Source organism: Homo sapiens, chromosome 16 (assembly GCF_000001405.40).
Source record: "Homo sapiens chromosome 16, GRCh38.p14 Primary Assembly".
Lineage (NCBI taxonomy): Eukaryota > Metazoa > Chordata > Mammalia > Primates > Hominidae > Homo > Homo sapiens.
This window is the reverse complement of record NC_000016.10, coordinates 88177039-88201742: the sequence shown is the minus strand read 5'-3', so window position 1 is coordinate 88201742 and position 24704 is coordinate 88177039. Positions and strand designations below refer to the sequence as shown.

Genomic DNA, 24704 nt, shown 5'->3' with positions numbered 1-24704 from the left:
GCATGTAAGGACCTGCTCAAGATGGAGTTGCAGGGACACCCGGAGACCCCTGGGCAGGTGCGGCCTCACCCCACAGTCCACTCCAGGGCTGCAGGACTGCCGGCAGCCACAGCTGTCTGTGCCCAGCCTCCACATTGAGAGTGGTGTTTTAACCCTTTGTTTTCATTTTTTTTTTTTAATTTATTTATGAGGCAGAGTCTCACTCTCTCACTCAGGCTGGAGTGCAGTGGCACAATCTCGGCTCACTGCAACCTCCACCTCCCAGGTTCAAATGATTCTCCTGCCTTAGCCTCCCAAGTAGCTGGGATTACAGGTGCCTACCACCACGCCCGGCTAATTTTTGTATTTGTAGTAGAGATGGGGTTTCACCATGTTGGCCAGGCTGGTCTCGAACTCCTGACCTCAGGTGATCCACCTGCCTTGACCTTTTTAAAGTGCTGGGATTACAGGCGTGAGCCACTGCACCCGGCCAACCCTTCATTTGTAAAGGGTTATTTTCTTTAAAAAGAAGACACAATGCAGAGAACTACAGTGAACTGCATTCACCTTCTGCCCCGTTCTGGAAAAGAGGTTGCCACCCCTGGTCCGGACAGGTAAACTGAAGCACGGGGTGGGGAGAAACTGTCGCTCAGTGGTGACAAGGACAGCACTGGGGACCTGCGGGGTGAGGATCCCCGGGGCACAGAGGGGCCCAGCCTCTGGCTCCAGCCCGCTTGATGACGTGGTCCCAAAGAAAGACGGGAGTCAGCTGGCCCGGCCCTCTCGCCCACACACAGTGGGGCCTGCTGCAGGCAGGGCCGGAGGTCCCCAGGGCCAGAGCCCACCGTCCAGTCTCCTGTGGCGGGAGCAGCCGGGGGCGGCCGGAGGAACGCGACCTGAGTGGGAGGGCGGGGACCCCTTTGCAGGAGGACAACAGAGGAGCTGTGGCTGCTCACATGCAGCTACTCAGTCTCAGCAGCCTCAGAAGACTTGGAAACACATCTTGTTTATTGGAATTCCTCTGCAAAGTCACATTTTATGTGTTTCCTCTTCCAGTGGCTTTAGAAGTGAGACCAGGCAGAGGGAACCAGCTGCTGGTCCCTGGTCTGGGCCGCCCCTACCTGACTGTGGTTTGACGTCCAGCCCAGGGCATTTGCAGAGGAAAAGCAGCAGCTTAGGCGGAGCAGGGTGAGGGCCGATGGCGTGGCGCCTTCTCTGGTTGCAGACCGGCCTCCGGGGAAGACAGCTCAGCTGGGAGAGCGGAGAGACCGTAGGGGCTGGAGTGCATTCGCTCCCTGCCGGCCTTCTGTTGCTGGCCACGGGGCAGGTGCGGTCCCTTCTGCGGTTCCTCGGTCCCCTATGGGGCGTGAGCATTGGAGCGTGTGGTTTCTCAGCTCCTTCCAGCTCTGAGGCTTCTGTCCAAGCAACCCAGGCAGTGCCCAGACACAAAAGATGTCCCTCGTCTTGGGCTGACAGGGAGAGCTGGGCACAGGCTAGCCCTTTCTCCGTTTCCCACTTCACCCGCTGGCTCCTGCTCAGCCTTTAACTTCTCCCCAAATGCCGCCTTCTGCGTGAAGCCTGCCGGGGTTTGGTGGTGCCACTGCTGCTGACACACACCCCACTGCCGTGTTCTCTTCGGCCGTGCCGGGCACTCCTCCCGTCACCTGTCATCCTCCCCCCGGGGCACGACCCCCAGCCCTCGCCTGTTTGACCGTCCCAAAGCCGGGGGTGGGAGCGGGAGGCATTTGGCGAGGTCATGGAGGGAACAGGGTGGTGAGCCCGGCATGAAGGGCCCTTGCTGCGGGGTCCTCGGCCCTGCCTGGTAGAGAAGGGTCATGGGACATGCAGTCCGGCCTCACCTTTGGAGTCTCCACCAAGACAGCCGAGGACTCAGAGAGGCTTGATCTGTGGGACAACAAACCAGCGCCTCTGCCTGAGCCCCCATCCTGACTCCCAGGTGGGGACGCTGAGTCCCTGGAGCCACACAGAGAGTGCTGGAATGGTGGTGTGACCTGAGGCTGCCCCAGCCCTATGGCCAGCACTGTCCTCCCTGCACCTGGCCTGAGGCTCTGTCCCCTCCCCAGTCCCCACAGCCAAGCACCCTCTGTGGAACATAGAAGCCCAGTAACTGTAAAATATGTGGGTGGTCCGAGCCGGCTGGTTCTGGAGAAAAGGAGATGGGATGTTCACCAAAGAATGTCAGAGGAGAGCGGGCTGGGAGCAAGGGCACCTTCATCAAACAATGGTTGGCACAGGAGGTGGGAGCAGAGTCCTCAGATCCACAGGCCATGGGGGCAGGTGGATTCCTTCCCGCTGGCTGCTCCCACCCCTGAAGACCAGGGACATGTGGGCCGGCGGATTCTGCAGTGACTGGTGAGCCCTGACCTGCTCTCATTTGCCCTGTGTGGCAGGATTTCCCTTGGAAAACACCCTTTTGGTACTGAAAGTCACCTCTCTGATGAGCTCCACAGTTGGCTCTAACCTGTTCCTGCCTCCTGGGGTTGTCGGGTGCCAGGGCAGACCTCTGGGGACCCACTCACAAATGTGTCATCTGCCAGGTGGGCGGTGCCCATGCCCTTGACCGTGAGGTCCTCATTCCCATCTGCAGCCTCCTCGTAGGAAACCAGCAGGGCCCTCAGCTGCGGTCTGACATCTCCTGCCAGGTCACGGTGGAATGGGAACCCTGGTGGCATTTGGGGGAGGGTCGAGGGTCAGACTGGAGCACTGGGTCACAACCCACCTCAAACACGGCCTGCAGAGCCCAGAAGACCCCAAGCCAGCTAACAGAGAACATGAGGCGGCAGCAGCGTCTTGTCAAGCAGCCGCCCTGGAGTTGCCAGGGGCCCTCGCCTCGGGTGGCTTGCGGGGCTAACGCTGACCCAATGTGAGCCACACACAGGCTCACGTCTGCTGCATTTGTGCCTTGCAACGTCCCGGCGTGACCAGCAGAGCCATCGCTCTCTTTTTAATAAACAGGGAGTTGGTGAGGTTGTGAGCTCTGTCCAAGACCACAGAACCACCACGAAACAAAGCCCAGGTTTCACAACTCCAAGGCCTGGCCAGCTAAAAACCCATTCTGCTCGCCACCCATCCATCAAGAAACCCGTCAGCCTCAAAGTACACACTCCAGCACTCACCTGCTTCGCCAAGGCCAGGTGGGCCTGCCCTGTCACTGCTAGCCATGGGTAGACATTTACATTTAAAGTGACAAGAATTAAATACAATTTAAAATTCAGCTCCTTAGCTGCACCAGCTGCATTTCCAGAGCTCGACAGTCACGTGTGACTCATGGCCACCTTACTGGACAGTGCAGATCTAGAATGTTCTGCCATTGCAGGAAGTTTGGACAACTGCAATAGCCTCTGCCCAGCCCCCCACCGGAGGAGGCTTTAACACATGTAATGAGGGGTCTGCCGGGCTTCCCACGTCCCTCAGGCCCCTGCTCCAAAGTCCCCCGCTGGGGAGGACGTCCCTGACCTCCACATCTGAGACAGAAGCCCCTCCCCACACTCCATCCTTTCACAGCTTTGTCTTCAGTGCACGTGATGTGGGATACGTCCTTCTGTCACGCATCTCACCCCGTGCAATGCAGGCTCCATGATGGCAGGAAAGGGCTCTGTCCTCAGCCCCAGGGCTGGGCACACAGCAGGTACTCAGGAGACAGTTTTTGAATGAGCAAATGAGATTTCTGTAGCTGTGATGGGTGTGGTGGTTTTAAAATACACCCCCAAACTCTGACACTCCTCCCTCAAAAGCTCCCTTCTTGAGTGTGGGCTGGACTCAGGGACATGCTTCTAATGAGTAGAGGGTTGTGGGCACACTAGCGTGCAGCTGCCAAGATGAAGTCAAAAGACACGCAGGCCTGCCTTGCTCTGCTGGGATCACTGGTCCCTGGGGAGCTGGTTGCCATGCTGTGAGGACACACAGGCAGCCCATGGAGAAGCCCGCATGGCAGATGCCCACGGCCTCCCACCAGCAGCCAGCACACACTCTCCAGGTGCAAACGTAGAAGTGGACCTTCCGGCCCTGGGGGGGCCTGCGAATGATGGCAGCCCCACGGACGCTGTGACTGCAGGACCACAAGGCCCACACCATCGTACTGGGTGGCTGTCAGACTCTGGGCCCCAGGAACCATGGGGAGGGTAAGTGTTGAGGCAGCAGCTGCTGAGTTGGGGGTAGTTTGTTATGCAGCAGTGGATGACTAATACAATGGGCAAGGGCTTTCTCCCAAATGCAAACTGATCGTGCCATCCCAATTCCTTGGCCCACATTCCCTTGGGAAAGACATCTGCTTTCCTGTGGGCATTTAATCCTGTGGGATAAACATTAACTGTGTACCTTCTATGTATCCAGCACTGAGAATAGAAATATTAAGAATCTAGACTAGTGGGGGACTTAGCATGAAGAAGCTGCCCCTGCTCGCTCCTGCTCTAGTGGCCAAAGCCCTCCTCTGTGTCTGTACAAAGAGGCAGGATCCCGCGGTGAGCCATGGTCCGTGCCACTGGCTTCTTCCTTTGCACCTGTGCTTCCTGACGTCTTTGCTCCACTCGGAGGCCAAAGGGGCAGCTTCCCCTGCAAGTACAGCTTTATCCGAAGGCTAGAAGGGTAGGGACAGCCAGCTTCCTAGGTGTGATGGCCTCGGTGATGAAGTCCAAGATTAGATCTATAGGGAAGTGAGCGCCAGCCAGAAGCATCCCTGAAAACGGTCAGTGACCAACACTGATGGACGAATTCCAGCCGCTGAACAAGACAGTCATGCTCTGGGGAGCCCAGCTCAGACATGACCCAGGTGAGAGGTGGCTGCTTTTCAAGAGCAAGTCACCCCTCCCAAGGCATCTCCCTAAGGGCATAAGCAGCGCTCCTCATGCCCCAAAGAGCAGGAGGAGCCCACAGGGCTCATGGAGGTGTGTGCACTCTCAGAAAGAGCTTTGGCATCGGACAAAACAGTGCTCAGTCTCCGGCTCCTGCTCTGTGTGGCCTGGCTGTGTGGCCTTGAGCAGTTGGTGGAGCTCTGAGCCTCACTTTCCTATCTGTGATGAAGGGGTGATATCACCTGACTAAAGGGCTACCAAGACAATTTGGGCAGAGCAAGGGGCCTGTCAGTGAGTGGCCCACAGCAGCCAACCTGTAGGCCCTGTTCCCTTATTGCTTCTTTCCAGCTATTTTTGGTGGTCACTCCTGGGTGGACACCACTCCACCAAACTCAATGGAGTGGCTGGAGGGGAAGTGGGTTTTAGTTGGGGCTGTCGGCCACTCCTGGCCAAGGGACAAGGTTGCAGAGTTCATTCTGAACGTTGGACATGTCTTGAGGTGGGGGTACCTCTGTCATATTATCAGACTCCTCCCATGACTGCTCAAACCCAAATTTCCCCCCGATGGCTTTGCTGAACTAGGCTGGGATCCTTGCCCTCATGAGAATCATAGACGTCATTCAGAGCCAGCTTTTGCACCTGACCTGACCCAGGCCACCTCTCTCCTTGGCACAGGCTGCAGGTCTTGTTCTGGGCCAGGCCTGCTAGCCTGGTGGTCCACAAAGGTAGATGCTGTCCCGACAGGTACTCCACTTCTAAGAGCAACTTCACGCCATCAGCACCACTTCGGGCAAGCCATGCCTCTCTCTAGGCCTCAGTTTCGCCACCTACACACAGAAAGGCGAGGGCTGGCCTCACAGACTCCAATGTCCAAATGCAGATGGATAAGTCAGAGCACAGGTCTCCAGGAAAAACAGAACATTACTGATGTGGCCTGAGATATCAGATGTCTGTGGATCACGACGCAGCCTCCTCTGGGCAGAATAATTCCAGTTTCCCAAGTTAATCATCTTGGGAGCAAGTGTCTGGGCATCAAGTCCTGCTCGGTGTTGTCTCTGGAGCTCCCTCCTACCTTCCCAAACCCACAGAGGCTGTCCTGACCAGTTGACATGGAATATAAATTACTCCAGAAGAGATTTCCCTGGAGACAGCTCAGGGTGGGGGACCAATGAGAGACTCATGGGACCTTTCCTGACGCTCTGGGCTCTGTTCTCCTTTGCATCTCGGGACACCCCGAGGTCTCAGAGCAAGAGCCCTCTTCCCCCTTTTCTTCAAACGTCCATCTGCCATTGTTAGCTGGGCCCATGCCCTCTCGAGGACTGTTACCACCTTCATGCTGAGTCTGACGATATGACAGAGAGACTCTCACCCCAAGACACGTCCAACTTTCAGAATCAACTCTGCAACCTTGTCTCTTGGCCAGGATCAGCCGACAGCCCCAGCTAAAACCCACTTCCCCTCCAGCCCTCAGATCACCTTCTGTTCCCCCAGAAAATCCTCCCTCACCCACAGCCTCAGAGCAGATTATCAGTGTGAACTGAATCATGGATTTTCGCAAAACCACCCAGCGGGGCCCACGAACACAGCTATAATTAGCAGCACAGTCCCGGTGCAGAGGCTGCAGGTCATGCATGTCCAGAAAGGCAGGCCCTGTCACCCCCTGGGCCGCCTCCTGCTTTTAGCTCTCCAGGCTGGGGGATTTTGTTTGTGCACACTGTAAAAATTCACGCTCATCTGAAGGCACGTTCCATGCACACGTTATTTATTGTGAGATCAGCGTGCGATTACAACACAGCCAGCTGTATTCTGAGAACAGGCGGCTTGCGACCAGAGAGCCGCGCCTTGAAGCCCATCACCTCCTCGCCCACATGCGTTTCCCGTCAGATCTGAAAGGCGACAAGGGGAGAAAGACAAGCCCATCCATCAGCCTGCACCTCTGGGGCCTACGTGGCCCAGAGTTCTCCGAACTCGTCCAGTGTCCACAGCCCAGCAACACGCATGAGGGCTGAAGAAAGAGAGAAATACCGTTCCCTGGGACAGCGACGTGGACCAGCCCCACCGATTCCCTCCCCGCCCGGGTAACTCACTCCATGCTGTGTCCTTGGCCTCCTCTGACGTTACGAAACCCAACCCTGCGCTTTTTTCTTTGCTGCCTTTTAAAGACAGAAGAACAGCTGACACTTCCCTTTCAGCCGGCACCGTCCTGGCATGGGGAAAAAGCAGATGGAGGCAAGTCAATTGACATGTTGACAAACCAGTGGATCGGAAAATAAATCTACCCTGATCAAGTCACAAAAGCACGGGGAAGGAGACGCCGGGGGCAGCGCGAAATCCCGGGCACGGCTGCCTCCCGCCCCACGCCCAGGACCGGGAAGGGCCACGCAGCTGTGATGTTTTTCTCTCCAAAGGGAATTAATCATTTCCAGACGCCGGCCCAGCACCTGGTGCCCAAAGCCATAGGCCTGGGAGCTGTGCAGGTCTTGCAGGCAGACGACACCACTTAGCGGACGCGATTTCTTCCCTGGTCCCACTGCCTGGTGCGTGCAGAGAAACTACTCCCAAGTGGGAAGTGAGTGGCTTGTTGAGGCTTGGGACAAAGCTCAGGGGTGTCCCAGGTGAACCCCCTTCTCTAAAACAAGCAGGTCCCTCCCTGCTCCGACACTGAAATGACATCACGGGGCACTGAGGACGTGAGGCCCGTCCCCGGCTGCTGCAGTGCAGTGCCACCTGCAGGCCGTGTGGCCTGAGCAGGCTGTGCCATCTCCAGGCCTGCAGTCTCTCGTCTGTAGGAAGAGGATGATCAGTAGCCCAGCCTTGGAGGTTTGTGTGGCGGAGGGGGGAATAAACCAAGTAACCAGGGGCGGGAGCTTAAAGAGTGATTGCACCAAGCCACACTCTGCAGGTGCCGGGCCACGCTGAGGCCTGAGTGTTTGTGTCCCTCCACATTCATTTGTTGAAATCCTTAACCTCAAAGTGATGGGATTAGGAAGTGGGGCCTTCGAGAGGTGACGAGGTTAAGAAGCAGAGCCCTCATTAATGGGATGAGTGCTTTATAAAAGGCCCTAGAAAGCCCCCTTGCCCCTTCCGCCATGTGAGGGCGCAGTAAGTTAACCATCTATGAGGAAATGGGCCTCACCAGACACTGTCTCTACTGAGATCTTAATCTTGGACTTCCCAGCCTCCAGAACTATGAGAAAGAAACTTCTGTTGTTTATAAGCCACCTAATTTATGTTTTTTTGGGGTTTTTTTAGAGACAGGGTCTCGCTCTGCCACCCAGGCTGGAGCACAGTGGTGAGATCATTGCTCACTGCAGCCTCAACCTCCTGGGCTCAAGCTATCCTCCTACTTCAGCCTCCTGAGTAACTGGGACTGCAGGTGCACACCACCACACCCAGCTAATTTTAAAATGTTCTGTAGAGATATGGATCCTCCTGTGTAGTGCCCAGGCTAATCTCGAACTCCTGGCCTAAAGTGATCCTCCAGCCTCAGCCTTCCGAAGTGCTGGGATTACACGTGTGAGCCACCATGCTTGGCCTCCAATTTACGGTATTTTGTTAAAGCAACCCAGATGGACTAAGACAACTCTCATAATCAATATCATCATCCTTATCATCACCACCGTCACCACCATCATCACCATCACCACCAACCCCACCACCACCATCTCCACCACCACCATCACCACTACCACCATCACCACCATCACCACCACCACCATCCCCACCACCACCATCACCACCATCCCCACCACCATCACCACCACCACCATCACCACCATCCCCACCACCATCACCACCATCCCCACCACCATCACCACCATCACCACCACCACCATCACCACCACCACCATCAACACCATCACCACCACCATCACCACCACCACCATCACCACCATCACCATCATCACCACCACCATCACCACCATCACCACCACCACCATCACCACCATCACCACCACCACCATCACCACCACCATCACTACCATCACCATCATCCTCATCATCATCACCATCATCACTATCACCATCATCACCATCACCTCCATCATCACCACCATCACCACCACCATCATCATCATCACCACCACCGTCATCACCATCATTATCATCATTGTCATCACCACCACCACCACCATCACCATCATTACCATCATTGTCATCACCACTATCACCACCATCATCACCATCATGATCATCACCACTGTCACCACCACCATTATCAACACCATCATCACCACCATTATCACCTTTATCACCACCATCATCACCATCACCACCATCATCATTACCACCATCACTGCCATCATCATGTGATGACTCTCAATACTGTCCTCATCATGTGTGACTTGGACTGTGGACCAGCCCCTCGGGCTCTGCTCTGCTGACCTGTATTCTTTGTCTCTTGCTCCTGAGAAGCTGGGAGTTGAGACCCAGTAAGGTGTTGTAGAGACACTTGTGACCCCAAATTCCATGAGACAGAGGACCTCCCATTTTCTTTTCCTTATTACCGCATGTCATCTTCCTGCACAAAGTAGACAAGACCTTGATGTCTGTCTCCGTTTCCCAAAAGAGTTACCAAGGGGGTGTTTTCCGAACTACCTGGCTCAGACTTCTTTCCCAGCATGGCCTGGTGAGTGCCAAGGAAAGGAAGCTGAGGCTCTACCAGCAGCCTTAGACCTGACACAATGTCCCTGCTCCATCTCCCTGCAGGAGCCATGCTCACCCCGAACGCTTCCACCAGCTCAGGCTGCATGGTTTCAACAAGAGGAATTTGTTTCTCATAGTTCTGGAGGCTGGAATTCCAAGATCAAGGTATGGCTGACTTGGCTTCTGATGAGGGCCCTTCCTGACTTCCAGGTGGCTTCCCACAGTGTCCTCACAAGGTGAAAGAGGGAGCTCCAGCCTCTTCCTCTCCTTGTAAGGACACCAGTCCCATCATGGGGTCCCACCTTCATGGCCTCATCTAAACTTAATCACCCTCCAAAGTCCCCCCCTCCAAATACCATCACGCTGGGTGTTAGGACTTCAATATACAAATTTGAGAGGGAGACAATTCTGTCCATAGCAGGCCCCTGGGGTCCCCATCCCAGCCAGAGTAACCCCACAGAAGCTACCAGTAAATCTCCAAAGCCATCACCATAGCCCACCGAACATTTCACCTCTGCCTGCGTTCTGAGAGTGGGACTTGTTCATTGTTCTGTTTTAATTCTCAGCAGGGCCTATGACCATGTCTGATGTTCAGGGAATGAAGAAGTGAAGAAAGCAGGAATGAATGAAGGAAGGAAGCAGCCCCAGCAATTGGTTCCCAGGCGAGAAGCTGGTGGGGTTCTGACTTCTATCCCGATTCACACCCTTTTCTCCTGCCCTCAGGGCGGTCCTTCTCCTGCTCTTGTTCATTCATCCCCTTCAGCCCTTTCGTATTCTCTTCTGTAGCCGAACCACAAAAAATAAATACATTAGAAATGTTTTCCGAGCTCATCGTGTCAATTTCTCTGCCCCAGCCCAGTGCGGTGGTTGATGCCTTTGCAGCCCCCAATTGCCAGGGGCACCTTGTGGGCATCTAGATCTCCAGACCTCAAAGCCAGCACCCACCCAACTGCAGGGTGCTGTCTGCTCTGTACGCATTCCGAGAGCTCCGTGGCCTGGGCCAGCCCCAGCTGGAACCTCGGGTGCCCTTCACTCTTCCAAAAGAGGCTGTTTGCTTTCAAAGAAAGGAAAGAGTAGAACTGCAGACTGCATTTGGCTACACAGCCTGAGACTCCTGGGAACAAAATAACCCACACAAACAAAATCCACAAGGAGCCCCAAGCCTTCACTTCAATCCACTTGGCTCTCAACACCCTCCTGGTCTCATATTTTCCTTTCTGTCCTTCAGAGGAGGGTAGCTAATAAGACTTTGTCTCTTGCCTCTGGTAATTGTTTCCTAGTGCCCCTAGCACTGCTATAACAAATGACCACTGACTTAGAGGCTTCCAACCACACACATCTAGTCTCTCCCAGTTCTGGAGGTCAGAGGTCCTAAGGTCCAGGTGTTGGCAGGGGCTGGCTCCCTCCGGACACTCCTGGGAAGAGCGATGATGAACATCTATTGTTCTAAAGTCCAGTTTGTGGCAGTGTGTTACAGAGGCAACAGGAAACTGATACTCCATAGAAGTCAGTGGGAAAGTAAGACTGCAAAAGGTCACAGCACTCCCGTTTACTCAACATACTTCCCTAGTTCAAGCCAACACCCTCCTCTGTTGAGTTCTCCAACAGCCTCAGCTTAGCCTCTATCTCAGCCTACCAAATGCAACAGAGATGCTTCTAAGACACACTCTTGCCTGTGTTGCTTCCAGCCTGGAGTCTTCAATAGCTCCCCATTGCCCTTAGTACAAACACTGATCTCAAGCATGCATTGTGAGGACGTGGCTGTGTGTGATCCCTGGATTTACTTCTCCAGTGCATGCTCTTCTCCCTCTCCTTCCTGTCCTCCCTCCTCCACCTCCTGAACACAAACCTCCACTAGTTTCACAAACACGCCACCTGTCCTGTTGCATGAGTTAAGAGGGTGAGTGCCTGGTGTGGTGCCGGGTGCATGGTGGGGCTGTGCTGGGACTGAGCAAGGTGTCACCTCTGGTTCAGCCACTACCCAGGCAAGTGCCAAGGGTTTCCACTTTTCTCCTCTAAAAATGACAATATTCGGCCTGAAATTAGCCTTAATGGTCTACCCCACTCCTGTGAGTTTACAACAATCAAAACATTTTGGGCCAGGAAAAAAAGTTGCCCAGAAAAATGAGAAGGTTTTGGCCTCGTGTAGCCAGATTAGCTGTTTGTGTGGCTTGAGACCCGTCCACTGGTCTAAAGCCCCCAGCCCCATGTATGGGTACCCATTTTGCAGCACAAAGGGTCAAGACAAGGCAACAAGAGAGAGAAAAGTAGAGGAAGTAACAGGGTGGGTGGGGTGGGAAATTGTGATAAGGATCTTGAAAGTTCCCCAGAGTCTGGTTGCCTCCTGGTTGGTTAAAATTTCTGTGCATTTTTCTTTTCTTTTCTTTCCGACACAGTCCCACTCTGTCACCCAGGCTGGAGTGCAGTGGTGCAATCTCGGCTCACTGCAACCTCTACCTCCTGGGTTCAAGCGATTCTCCTGCTTCAGCCTCCCAAGTACTTGGGATTACAGGTGCCTGCCACCATGCCCAGCTAATTTTTTGTATTTTTAGTAGAGACAGTTTCATCATGTTGGCCAGGCTGGTCTCCAACTCCTGACCTCAGGTGATCCACCCACCTCGGCCTCCCAAAGTGCTGGGATTACAGGTGTGAGGCACTGTGCCCAGCCTGTGCCTTTTTCTGTGGCAACAATTAGCACAGAAAACAATTCCCCCATAGGAGCGTTTCCCCAGCACCCAACCTAGTGCCTGGCACACAGTAGGAGCACAATAAGTGCATGTGGAATGGTGGATAAATGAACGTGCCCAGTGCTTTTCTAGAGAGCACGTCCCAGGGGCATGCAGACACGCATGTCCAGGTGTCCAAATATCCTTCCCCAACTCCAGTCAGAGAGAGACCATGAGAGACCCCAGCTGGGAAGAACCATCACATCCCCCCATCAGAGACCCCGGTTGGGAAGAACCATCACATACCCCCATCAGACCTTTGCTCCCCTTCTCCTTTGTGGGGCTAACACCCAAGCATTACCATCCTTATCCCTCCAGCTCTTACTTCTGGTGCTATCTGGAGACATGCATTTGGGTTGTTACGATCAGAAGTGACAGTGGCAGCTCTGCACTTGGGAAGGTCCAACAGAGGTATAATTGAGTCAGTGCAGCCGACTGTTAGGAGCTACACTTCCTCGAGGCTCCAGAGGCTCTCTACAGAAGGCCAGTGTATAAGCAATGTCCTTTCAGTGTTTTTAGTGAGACATCCTCCCCTCATTGGGGAACATTCTAGACACAAGGTTTGAGAAAGAAGGACCTTCCTTTCCAAAAGGGAAAAAGGAGGCCACATTTGGCTTACTGAGCATCCATTCTAAATGGCATTTGAGGTGCCTCCTACGTGCAGAAGCAGGTAGTGACACAAATGCAGAAGGAGTGGTGCATGGTGCCCACACCGGGGACTAGCATCTAAGGCTGTGCTCCTCAAACTCCACAGAGAGGTGCCCCCGGAATCTCACAGACATGTAGATTCTCGTGCAGTGGATCTGGGCAGGGGGAGGGTCTGCATTTCTAATGGGCTCCCGAGAGCTACAGGGGCAGCTAGCCTGGACTGGGATCCGTGTTCCCAGCCTGGAGACCCGTGGCACTGGCCATCCCTGAGAGTTTGTTTGATACGCAAGTTCTGGGGCATCCCAGACCTCCTGCCTCAGAATCCCTGGCAGTGGTGCCTGGGGACCCAGGTTGAACAGGACTCCCAGAGATTCAGATGCTCTGGCAAGTCTGAGCACCATGGGGGCCAGACCATGGCAACAGCCCATCCAGGAGCTGCACTTCGCCCTTCCTGCATGCTGTAAGATGTCATTAAGCAGCCCATGCCGTCCACTAGGCCAGGCACAGCCTCAGAACCCTCCAGGCAGCAGTCCAGGCCCCCAGGATGACAGTACGACACCCCAGGTCTACACAGACACTAAGGAGACAGCAGATGGTCCCCCAAGATGTGCTAGATGCTACCCAAGTGAGATGCACAGTTACACGGGTGCTCAGTCGGGGAGGGAGCAGCCTGTGGTGCTCTGGGGGAGAGGAGGTGTTGGGGTGTCACAGGAGAGGTGAGACGTGATCTGGACCTTGGAAGGAAAGGAGGAGTTGTCCAGGGCAGCAAGGAAGGGCACCCCAGGCAGGGGTCACGGCACGGGCAGAGGCACAGAGGTGGCAAAGTTCGTTGTTTGCTTGGAAACTGCGTGAATCAGCTTAGGGCCAGGCCCTGAGCTCCAAAGTGGAGATGGGGTTATGGGAGGAGAACTGGGGAGCAGGGGAGCCAGGAGGCTGGTGTGAAAGACAGGGCCCGGGATGCATCCCAGGAAAGCCCCTGCCCACCCGCTTTTCTTCCCAGGCCCCTTTCCTGAGACCCTGCTGGGGAAAAAGAGACAACAGCACAGGAGGAGGAGAGGGCAGTCAATGTGATTTCAGACACTCCAAGATAAACAGGGAAACTAAGAGTTGAGACTCGTTACATTGGCCATGGGAAAAATCACCATTAGGCACTGCATTTTAATACAGCATTCTGTCTGGTTTTGATTTCACAGATGTAAAAAAAAAAAAAAAAAAATGCAGGCAATCTGGAATTAAGTTGGACTACTTCAAACTGTTTCTATAAACCACATTTGGGATTCTTCCAGCGTTTCTGAGATTCAATTTACAGAGATTTCTTCAAGTCAAAAAAAATAAATAAAAAAGAAAGAAAAAAACAACCTAAATACCCTCTGTGGGGAGCAGTTGTTGGGGTCCCGGCTGGTGCCATGTTCCCACAAGGGGCCTCCCTGTCCTACTGTAATTGGCGTAATTCACACTGTTCTGATTACAGAGGGCCTGTGAGATGTTGCGTTTAGGAGCCATTCCGGAGGTTTTCCTTCCTGTATGCAATTTCATCTGCATTTTTATCAGCGAGAATTTTGCTGTTAATAGAACGTGTGTTCTCATGCTGACCATGAAACTGAAGTCACACACCTGGGCAGGTGCTGGGCCCACACGTGCTAGGTTCTGCGGGGTCCGGTCGGACCTGGGAGGCCTAGCTTGGAGGCGGCTTTCCTAGGCCACCCCAGGCAAAGAAGAGCTGCTTCAGGGTCCCCAACCTGCGCCACCCGCTCAGGGCTCCCCCCACCAGGTGAGCTGGACCCTGGGGGTCTCCACAGACACCTCAGCTAGTCCTGACCTGCTGGCCAGACGCCCACCAGCCCTGCCTTCCAGAGGGCCCCGCTACATCGTCTTCATACCCCGGGGCCTCCCAGCCGCCCCACCTGCAGGGCTGCTAGAACTTTCTCCCGAGACAAAGCCTGCCATTGTGCCTCCCTGGAGCCCGTCTCTGCAGTGGGGGGCAGGGTGTGTTGAGCGTCCCGGGTCCAGTGTCTCCGGCGTGTCCTGCATCTCGGCAGCCAGCTCCTCTGCAGCTCAGGCCCCGTGAGTCACAGCCGCTTCCTCAAATGCTTTGGCTGACCGCATCCCCCCGCCCCGCCAGAACCCTGGATGCCGGAGCCCTCCCAGCGAGAGCCGTGTTTATTTTACTTTACATACATTTTCCAACACGGAGCGGCTTGCACACATGCAGCTCTTAGGCCCGGGCCGCACGTCTCAGAAGCCCCGTGTGCGACTTTGACCGCCGCACGATCCTCTGCCGGGGGAGGTGGGCCCGCTGCGCTTTGGGAGCACCCGCGCCCGACACTGAGGTCTCGGTGCTGTGTTCGGCCTCTTCGTCCCTGCGGGTCCCCTCTGGGAGCAGAGGCGGTCGGAAAACCCTGGGGCTGAAGTGCAGGCTTCGGGAGGACGCGACCTGCCAAGATCAGCTCCCGGCACGTGATGGGAGCCTGGCTCACCTTCCCCCAGCGCACGATGGGCCGCAGCCTCCCCGGTCGGCCTGGCCTGCTGGAAAGGAGCAGCTCTGTTTCCAGAGGCTTCTGGCGAAGCCCACGGCCTCCCATTGTTGGCTGATTTATAAGGAAAGAGGGGAAAGGCCAAGTGTGGATGCCATTAGCATAACCTAATCCAGACCCCATGACAAGTCCAGGATCCTGCAGGGAGAGGGCATCCTTGAACGTGAAGGACTGGCTTTGGAAACTTGGCCTCCCGGAAGAAAGGTCTCCGGGCCCACCCACACCCACCTTGTGGACGCCCCCGCAGTCGAATACACTCCACAGGAAGACGGACCACAAACAGCAGCAGCCTCCGGTGTCGGCCCAGTGATCCGGGAGCTCAGAGTGTAGGTACCTGACGGCTTGACTCGTCCCCAGGACAAGGCCTGTGAGAGGGAGGGGGGCACTCTGAGTGTGCGAATGTGTGAGTGTGTGTGTCTGGGCACGAGTGTGTATGCGTGTGTGTGTGCATGTACTATATTCACATGTGTGAGAGTGTGAATGTGTGTGTCTGTGGGTCTGCGCACATAAGTGTGTGTGTGCATATACTATATTCACGTGTGACTGTGCAAATGTGAGTGTGTCTGTAGGTCTGGGCACGTGTATGCGTGTGTGTGCGAGTACTATATTCACATGTGTGAGTGTGCGAATGTGTCTGTGGGTCTGGGCACACGAGTGTGTATGCGTGTGTATGCATGTACTATATTCACGTGTGTGAGTGTGCGAATGTGTCTGTGGGTCTGGGCACATGAGTGTGTGCATATACTATATTCACATGTGTGAGTGTGCAAATGTGAGTGTGTCTGTAGGTCTGGGCACATGTGTATGCATGTGTGTGCGAGTACTATATTCACGTGTGTGTGAGTGCGAATGTGAGTGGGTGTGGGTCTGGTCACATGTATGTATGCATGTGTGCATGTATTATAGTCATGTGAGTGTGCAAATGTGTGAGTGTGGGTCTGGGCACACAAGTGTGTATGCATGTGTTTCTATTGTATTCATGTGAGTATAAGTGCAAATGTGTGTGTGTTCTCTGCACACACAAGTGTATAGGTATGTTTGTGTGTGCATGCATTGTATTCATGTGAGTGTATGTGAATGTGTGACTGTGAGAGTTTGAGTGTGCCTGTGTGTCTGGCTATACTAGTGCGTGCCTGTGTTCGTGTGCATCAGTCTGGGTGTGCCCGTGTGTGAATGTGAGTGTCTATGCGTGGGTGTCCCAATATGTGTGTGCCTGTGTATCCATGTCTGGGTGTGCCTGTGAGTGTGAGTGTGCACATGGGTGTCTGGATATGTGAGTGCTTGTGACTACCTGTGTGAGTACCCATGTCTAGGTGTGCCCGTGGGTGTGAGTGTCTGTGCGTGGGTGTCTGGATACGTATGTGCCTGTATGAGTGTGTATCCATGTCTGGGTGTGCCCACGGGTGTGAGTGTGAATATGTAAGTCTTGCGTGTGCATGAGTGTGTTCACATGAGTGTGAGGGTCTGTGCATAACAGCCTATTGTGTGAGTGTGTGCATGTGGATTGCATTTATGTGAGTCCGTGTCTGTGCACGCACGTGTCCCCGCACAAGCCAGCCCGAGAGGGAGTGTCCCCTGAACACACCCTGGCAGCACTTGCAGCGTGACGAGGTTGAGGGAATGTGTCGCTGAGGTCGTAAATGCCTCTCGCACGTCCCAACACGCTGGAGCAACAGCAGCCCGTGACGCCGGCCGTGCAGCCGTGAAGTCCGTGGAGCGTCCCTAATCACTGGGGGTTCTGCTTTGCGGCGACAGCGGTGCTACTCACAGCTCCAGAACTCTGCAGCTTCCCCCCTGAAACGGGAACGGGAAGGTGGCGCGGGCGTCCACACCTCGAGCCACAGCCGGCGGGAGGCACAGGCTGGCAAAACTGCCTCTCAGTAGTGAGAAGAGACAAACAAACCGAACGCCAGGAGCAGAGGAAACGAAGACGATGTGGCCAAGAAAAATTGCATTTTTCTTTCCAGTTTTGCTAAAATAGCCTTCTCATTGGCTGCGGCTTTGGAGGTGGCAGAAATCATACGTTTAATCACGGCGCCCTCCTGCTTGCCAAGGTTAGCAGGGGCTGCACTGCTGTGCCCTCCTGTCCCTGGAGGCTCTGGTGGCCCCAAGCCCCACACTGCCAGGCTGGGTGCCAAGCTGCCGTGACCCCGGAATTCGGCCTGTGGTGATCGGTCTTCCCTGGCACGGAGCTGAGTTAGGGGCTCTAGAATCAGTCCCAGCCACGTGAGGCTCTCCCTGGGATGTGAGGGTCGTCTCGTCTGTTTACACGGGGGCCACAGTGCAGATCCCAGCCCGGGCAGGGGAGGGGCAAATCTATGCCCACTTCAAGCTTCCACTTCTGCCCGCCTCAAAGTGCCGGAGACTCCGGCACCTCTGCGTTCCTCCTTCCCGGTAGGAACAGAAAGCTGGGAAAGGGCTGGGGTGGCAAGGAAGAGCCCCAGGAAGACGCGAGTGGCTCTCCCCACTCCCTACAGGACCTCCCTCCCCCAAGCCCATGGGCCGCCTTCTCCAGGGACGCTTCCCTGTCCCACCCACCGGGCAAGGTGGGCCCAGCAGGGTCTCCTTTTCACCGTGCGCCCCCTCCTGTGGCCGGGTCCTGGGCTGATGACTTCACATGCTGCTTTTACAAGTCAGGTTTATTGCGGTATCACGTACACACATAAGGCTCACCCCTTTTCGATGCACAGCCGACGACTTGGTAAGTGTCCAGAGTGGGGCACTTCTGCCCCGACAGAGGCAGCCCACATTTTGCCCCTCTGCAGTCAGGCCCCTTCCCGGCCTCCAACCACCACCTGTCTCTCCTCGGTCCTACAGCTTTGCGTCCTCCAGAATTGTCCTGTGAGTGACTCCCACAGGATGGAGACTTTTGTGTCTGGCTTCCTTCACTTCGCAGCAGGCTTCGCGGGACCCGTGTGGTGGCACCAGCGTCCCGCCCTTGGTGCTGCTGAGCTGTAGGTTGTGGGACAGGTGGAGGTACACAGTTGCTCACGGGTTCACCTGTGGATGGGCATGTGGGCTGTTGTGAGTGAAGCCACTTTAGACATTTGCGTGCAGGTTTGGTGGGGACGTGCAGTTTCATTTCTTTTGAGAGTGGGATTGCTGGAGCCCGTGTTAAGGGTACGTTCAACTCATCAGCTCAACTGTCTTCCAAATGGCAGCCCCGTTTTCCACCCCCGCCAGCAACGCCCGCGACTCCAGGCGCGCGGCATTTTCATCAGCACCTGGCAGTGGTGATTCATAATGCTTTCAATGTTAATTTCCCTCATGACTAGTGATGTTAAACATCTTAGGTATTATTTCATGGGTTATTTCCAATCTTTTACCTACTTTTTAGTGGATTATATTTGTCTTCTTAGTATTGAGTTATAAGAGTTAAATATTGTGGGTACAAGTCCCCTGTCAGAAATGTGTTTTGTAAATAATTTCTTCTAGTCTGTGGTTTGTCTCTTCATTTTCTTAAGTATGTCTTTAAAGAGCAGAGGCTTTTGATTTGGATAAAGTTCAGTTTGTCAGTTTTTTCTTTTAGGGTTATGTTTTTGTATCCTATCTAAGAATCTTTGACTATCAAATTCTCACAAAGCAGTTTTTTGTTTTCTTCTAGATGTTTTACGGTTTTAAATTTTACCTTCAGGTCTACAACCATTGTGATTTAGATTTTGTATTTAATGTAAGGTATAAGTTGAGATTCATTTCTCTCTGTTTTTGGAGACTTATGTCCAGCTATTCCAGAACCATTTGTTGGAAAGAGTATCTTTATCCCATCAAGTTATGTGGGCACTTTGTTGAAAAAGATCTATTGACCATATATACATGCGTTTATTTCCAAGACTCTATTTTGTTTTGTTGACTGACTTGTTTGTCCTTATGACAATATCACACTGTTTTGATTACAGTGGCATTATTGTACCTCTTGCAAAAATCAAGTGTGAATCTTCCAAAGAAGATTTGGAAGATTTTCTCTTTCAAAGTTGTGTGAGTTATTTAAGTGCCTTTTAATTTTCATATAAGTTTAGAATTAGCTTGCAGTTTCTAAAAGAAAAAAAAAGTCTGATGAGACTTTGATTGTGATTCCATTGGATCTATAGCTCAGTTTGCAGGGATTTACATCTTAACAATACTGAGTCCTCAAATCCATGAACATGGTACATCTCTCCATTTATTTAGGTCTTCTTGTATTTTTTCTCATCAACATCTTATAGTTTTAAGTAAACAAATTTTGCACATATTTTGTAAGATTTATCATTAAGTATTTCATGTTTGTGATGTTATGGTGAATATTGTTTTTAAATTCAATTTCCTATTGTCCACTGCTAGTATATGGAAATACAATTGGTTTTCATACATTAACCTTATGTCCAGCAACTTTGCTAAATGTATAAGCTCTTACACATTTTCTGGTAGATTGTTTAGGATTTTCTACATCGATGATCATGTTGAGTGCATATAAAGGCAATTTTATGTCTTATTTCCAATCTGCATGCCTTTCACTTCTTTTCCTGGCTTTATTTCAGTGGCCAGAACCTCTAGCACAGTGTTAATAAGAGTGATGAGAGTGACATTCTGACTTTGTTTCCAGTCTTTCTGCTTCGATCATTATCATATTCTTTCTTTTCCTTACTTTGAATTTATTGTGCTCTTCCTTTTCTAGGCTTTTAAGGGTAGAAGCTTAGATTACTGATTGGAGAACTTTCTTCTTTTCACATATATACATTTAATGCTATAAATGTTCTTCCAAGCACTGCCTTGCCAGCACCTACAAATTGTCATATGTATTTTCTTTTTTGCTCAATTAATTTTTTTTCTAATTTCTCTTTGGATTTTTTGATCTATCAGTCATTTTAAAATATGTTCTTTAACTTCCAAATATTTGAAGAGACATACTATTAATTTCTGGCTTAATTCTGTTGTGGCCACATATTTCGCATAACTTCACTTTTTAAAATTTGTTGAGATCTGTTTTACGGCCTGGAATATGGTCTATCTTGGTGAATGCTCCATGTGCATTTGTAAAAAAGTGTGTATTCTGGCCGGGAGTGGTGGCTCACGCCTGTCATCCCAGCACTTTGGGAGGCCGAGGCGGGTGGATCACGAGGTCAGGAGATCAACACCATCCTAGCCAACACAGTGAAACCCCGTCTCTACTGAAAATACAAAAAATTAGCCAGGCGTGGTGGCGGGCGCCTGTAGTCCCAGCTATTCGGGAGGCTGAGGCAGGAGAATTGCTTAAAGCTGGGAGGCGGAGCTTGCAGTGAGCTGAAATCGTGCCACTGCACTCCAGCCTGGGCGACAGCGAGACTGCGTCTCAAAAAAAAAAAAAAAAAGTGTGTATTCTGCTAATATTGAAAGTATTGCTTAATAAATGTCAAATCAATCAATTTGGATGATATTGTGATTCAGGGTTCTACATCCTTACTGGTTTCCTGTCTACTTCTTCTATAGCTTACAGAGAGGAGTATTGGAGGAGTATTGAAGTTTCCAACGATACTCAGGGATTTTTCTATTTCTTCTTTACTTTGTGATCCATGTGTTTTGAAATTCCGCTGTTAGGTGCAAGCATATTTACAACTGCTATATTTTCCTACAGAATGGCACTTTTATTTGTTTGTTTGTTTGTTTGTTTTTTGAGACAGAGTCTCTCTGTCACCCAGGCTGGAGTGCAGTGGGACCACGTTGGCTCACTGCAACTTCCATCTCATGGGTTCAAGCAATTCTCCTGCCTCAGCCTTCTGAGTAGCTGGGATTACAGACACCCACTACCACGCCCGGCTAATTTTTTTATATTTTTAGTAGAGACAGGGTTTCACCATGTTGGCCAGGCTGGTCTCGAACTCCTGACCTCAGGTGATCCACCCGCCTCGGCCTCCCAAAGTGCTGGGATTACAGGTGTGAGCCACCGCGCCTGGCCAGAATGGCACTTTCAGGATCATATAATGTATCTATTCATCTCTGGTAATATTCCTTGTTCGGATATCTATTTTATCTGATACTAACATCTCCGCCCCAGCTTTCTTTTAATAGTTCAGAATATAACTATTTCTGTCCCTTACCTTCAATCCACTTATGTTTTTATGTTATTTTTTTTTTCTTTTGTAGACAGCATAGAGTTGGATCTTGTTTTTATATCTACCCAACCTAAAAATCTGGATATTTTTATTGGGAAGTTGAATTTAAATCTACCACCTTGACATTTATTTTGTATTTGTCTCGTCTGTTCTTTTTAAATAATTTTTCCGTTTTTCTTCCTTCTATTGGATCAAGTACTTTTTTTTAAAGTGAAAGCCAATTTATTAAGAAAGTGAAGGAATAAAAGAATGGCTACTCCATAGGCAGAGCTGCTGAGTATTTTTTATTATTTCATTTTATCTTCACTATTGCCTTGTTATACCTCTTAGTGTAGCTGTTCATGGTTGCAGTAGGGCTTATGATAAAGTTACAGCTGTAGCTTCTCAGTCTGCCATTACACAATATTCTACCACTTCACATACATGTAGTAACCTGACAGCAAGGCCTGTACTTCCTCCCTCCCATACTTGGTACTGTTGTTACCACAGATTTGCTTCTGCATGTTACAAACCCCACAATACACTTTTCCCGTCTTTGCTTCAGGTAGTCAATTATCTTTCTGTCTTTGGATATCTTTTTAAAGATATAATCCACATACATAAAATGCACCCATTTGAAGCATGCAGTTCCAGAGACCAGAGGTTCTCAAACTCTGTATGGGAATCACACAGGTTCCTGGTAAAAGGCAGACTTCCAGGCCCCTGCTGGAGTTTCTGACTCAGCAGGTCTGGGTGGGGCCTGAGAATCTGAATTTATAGCAAGTTCACAGGTGAACATTTGTGTGGCTATCAAGGGACACCTGGGGCCGGGCAACTTCTAAAGAAAAGTGGTTTCTTTGGCTCACAGTTCTGCAGGCTGTACAAGAAGCCTGGCAACAGAATCTGCTTCTGGTGGGGCCTCCGGCTGCTCCTGCTTAGGGTGGAGGGTGAAGGGGAGCCATGTGTGCAGAGGGCACAGTGGGAGAGGAAGCCAAAGGGAGGGAGGGGCCACGCTCTTTTAACACCTGGCTCACGCAGGAACTAATTGAGCAAGGGCTCGTTCATGACTGCCAGGTGGGGTCGGCAGGAAGCCATTCCTGAGGGACCTGACCCTTGACCCAAACCCCCGCCCGTAGGCCTCACTCCAACACTGGGGATACATTTCAACATGAGATGTGGAGGGGACACACGTCCAAACCACAGCACCAGGCAATGCTTACACTGCGGGTCTGGGGCCCACTCCGAGAATGACTGCTCCGGACAAAATTACACACACGGACCACGCACCCACCCACAGGATCACACGCCCGTCTTCGGGTTGGGGGTGCAGGGAGGACGGGTAGAGATGTGTTGGGGTGCAAAGGAAAAGTCCTCATGGCCCACATATGTGCTCTGACCCAGTGGCTCTGCAGAAACCCATGAAAGAGGATCCTGAAAGAGCAAGGGCGGCCTCCAGGTGAAGGTGGTGGGCGGCCTCCAGGTGAAGGCGGCCTCCAGGTGAAGGTGGTCAGCACCCTCCCTTTGGCCAAGAGGAGACTGCAGTTTCAACTCAAAGATTATTCCTGAATGAGTGAGTGACTGTGTCTCTCTTCTCCTCACCCCTGCTGTGGTTGTGTCTCCTCTTCAAGAAAAACCAATATGTGGGAAGGCCCAAGTCTGCACAAAACAAATATTTATTTTACAAAATATTGTTTTTTGCTCTTCCAGTGCAGCAAGCTTAAACTTCCTTAAAAACAAACCTCTGGGAAGAGGAAAACGAGGCAAGATGCTGAGAAAAAGTCATCTCCCACTCTGCCCTTCTCTGGCAAATCGAAGTGTCCTCTTGTGGGAGGCGGTGGGCAGCGACACTCCTGTTGGACGTCAGTGCTCTCGGGATGGGCCCGGCCACCCCGGAGCAGAACTCACTTAGGGCCTGGTGCCCCTGTGCCCAGTTCTCAGAACGTCGGAGTGCTCAGTTCTCAGAACGCCGGAGTGCCCCATTCATAACCTGCAGCCCCGTTCATAGCCTGCAGCTCCCCTCCTTCCTCTCCTCCCGGTCGTCAGGGAGCACCCCCAGCTCCCCTCCCCACTCTCAAACCCTCCTCCTCCCTCCCCTCTCTCATTTCCCTGTTTGCAGGATCTCCTCCTGCCCACTCTCCAGCCCAGGTCCTCCCCTCTCATCTCCAATTCTGCTTCATGGGCCATGACAGCAGGCAGGCCATGGCCTGCTCTCAGCAGTTTGATCGATGGACTAAGGAGATCACTCCTATGAGAGTGAAAAAGTCAAATGTGCCTGAGATTCGGATGGGGAGCTCTCAAAGCTACGGATTGCAAGAGTCAACACCGCCTCAAAAGTACAAGGCCGGCCGGGTGCAGTGGCTCACACCTGTAATCCCAGCACTTTGGGAGACTGAGGCGGGTGGATCACCTGAGGTCAGGAGCTCAAGACCAGCCTGACCAACATGGTGAAATCCCGTCTCTATTAAAAATACAAAAAAGATTAGCCGGGTGTGGTGGTGCATGCTTGTAGTCCCAGCTACTCGGGAGGCTGAGGCAGGGGGAGCACTTGAACCCGGGAGGTGGAGGTTGCAGTGAGCCGAGATTGCACCATTGCACTCCAGCCTGGGCAACAGAGTGAGACCCTGCCTCAAAAAAATAAAAAAATAAAAGTACGAGGCCCGGTTTAAATGCAGGAGGAATCTGGTGAGCGAGTTTCACTCTGATGCAACAGAAAAGCCAAGCCAAGCCTTGGCTGTGCCTGGTCTTGGCCGGGGAGCCACAGGCAGGGTCTGCTGGTTTCGGTGTCAGGGGCACATCCCCAGGACCACGTCTGAGATGGGAAGTGCCTTGATGGAAAACTGATACCTTTTTCTTTCCGAGTAACTTTAGAACATGTCGCTTCAAATATAACTAATATCCTGATTTCAGTGGACTTGCATGGAAGGAAACGCAAGTTCATTTGCCAGTGGGGGGTGAGGACTGGGAGAGTGGGGAGCAGGGTGGGGAAGAGGGGAGCATTCCACAAGCCGCAAGAGCCTGGACACCTCCAGCCTTCAATAAATAGCATTTGAATTTGCTGTGCCTAATTCAACCTTGCATTTGCGTAGTGAAAGTCAGGCCCGCGGTGTGTATAGTTTGGCACATGAGTTCAGCTCGGGTCCCCTTGATCTGCTTCTGTGTTCTCACTCTCTCCCTGCCCGGCACGCCCCTCTTTTTCTATCCAGATGAGCGAAGGGGTGAATTAGTCCAGAAATGTTTCTGCTCCAGTCAAACAAACATTATCACCTGTCAGTCAAACATTATCACCTGTCAGTCACCAGAGACGTGCACGGGTGC

The 24704-nt window shown here is 52.3% G+C and overlaps 1 protein-coding gene and 2 long non-coding RNA genes across 5 annotated transcripts in view, besides 3 other annotated features; 1 reads left to right on the top strand and 2 right to left on the bottom strand.

The window, feature by feature from the left end:
* ZNF469 (zinc finger protein 469) overlaps positions 1–24704 on the bottom strand; it is a 339823-nt gene that overhangs the window by 239011 nt on the left and 76108 nt on the right. The gene's annotated exons all lie outside the window — the stretch shown is intronic.
* Positions 6526–7462, bottom strand: LINC02182 (long intergenic non-protein coding RNA 2182). The gene is made up of 3 exons (NR_110944.1): positions 7232–7462; positions 6878–6993; positions 6526–6676 (listed from the first exon to the last, which is right to left on the bottom strand). It is a non-coding gene; the product is annotated as a long intergenic non-protein coding RNA 2182 (long non-coding RNA).
* Positions 6645–7177: an enhancer, noted in NCBI's record as "H3K4me1 hESC enhancer chr16:88228172-88228704 (GRCh37/hg19 assembly coordinates)". NCBI's record gives its function as "activates a minimal SCP1, AML or CMV promoter by ChIP-STARR-seq in primed H9 embryonic stem cells {active_cell/tissue: H9 hESC(primed)}" and the evidence as "EXISTENCE:reporter gene assay evidence [ECO:0000049][PMID:30033119]".
* Positions 7386–7680: an enhancer, noted in NCBI's record as "tiled region #11460; HepG2 Activating DNase matched - State 12:CtcfO, and K562 Activating non-DNase unmatched - State 12:CtcfO". NCBI's record gives its function as "activates a minimal TATA promoter and a strong SV40 promoter by Sharpr-MPRA in HepG2 cells, with weaker activity in K562 cells {active_cell/tissue: HepG2 | K562}" and the evidence as "EXISTENCE:reporter gene assay evidence [ECO:0000049][PMID:27701403]".
* Positions 14053–14860: an enhancer, noted in NCBI's record as "H3K27ac-H3K4me1 hESC enhancer chr16:88220489-88221296 (GRCh37/hg19 assembly coordinates)". NCBI's record gives its function as "activates a minimal SCP1, AML or CMV promoter by ChIP-STARR-seq in naive H9 embryonic stem cells {active_cell/tissue: H9 hESC(naive)}" and the evidence as "EXISTENCE:reporter gene assay evidence [ECO:0000049][PMID:30033119]".
* LOC105371401 (uncharacterized) lies at positions 14984–24454 on the top strand. Of its 3 annotated transcripts, NR_188673.1 has the most exons (4): positions 14984–15671; positions 18163–18299; positions 22791–22959; positions 23097–24454. It is a non-coding gene; the product is annotated as an uncharacterized LOC105371401 (long non-coding RNA). The 3 variants fall into 3 exon arrangements; NR_188672.1 differs by lacking the exon at positions 18163–18299; NR_188674.1 differs by lacking the exons at positions 18163–18299; positions 22791–22959.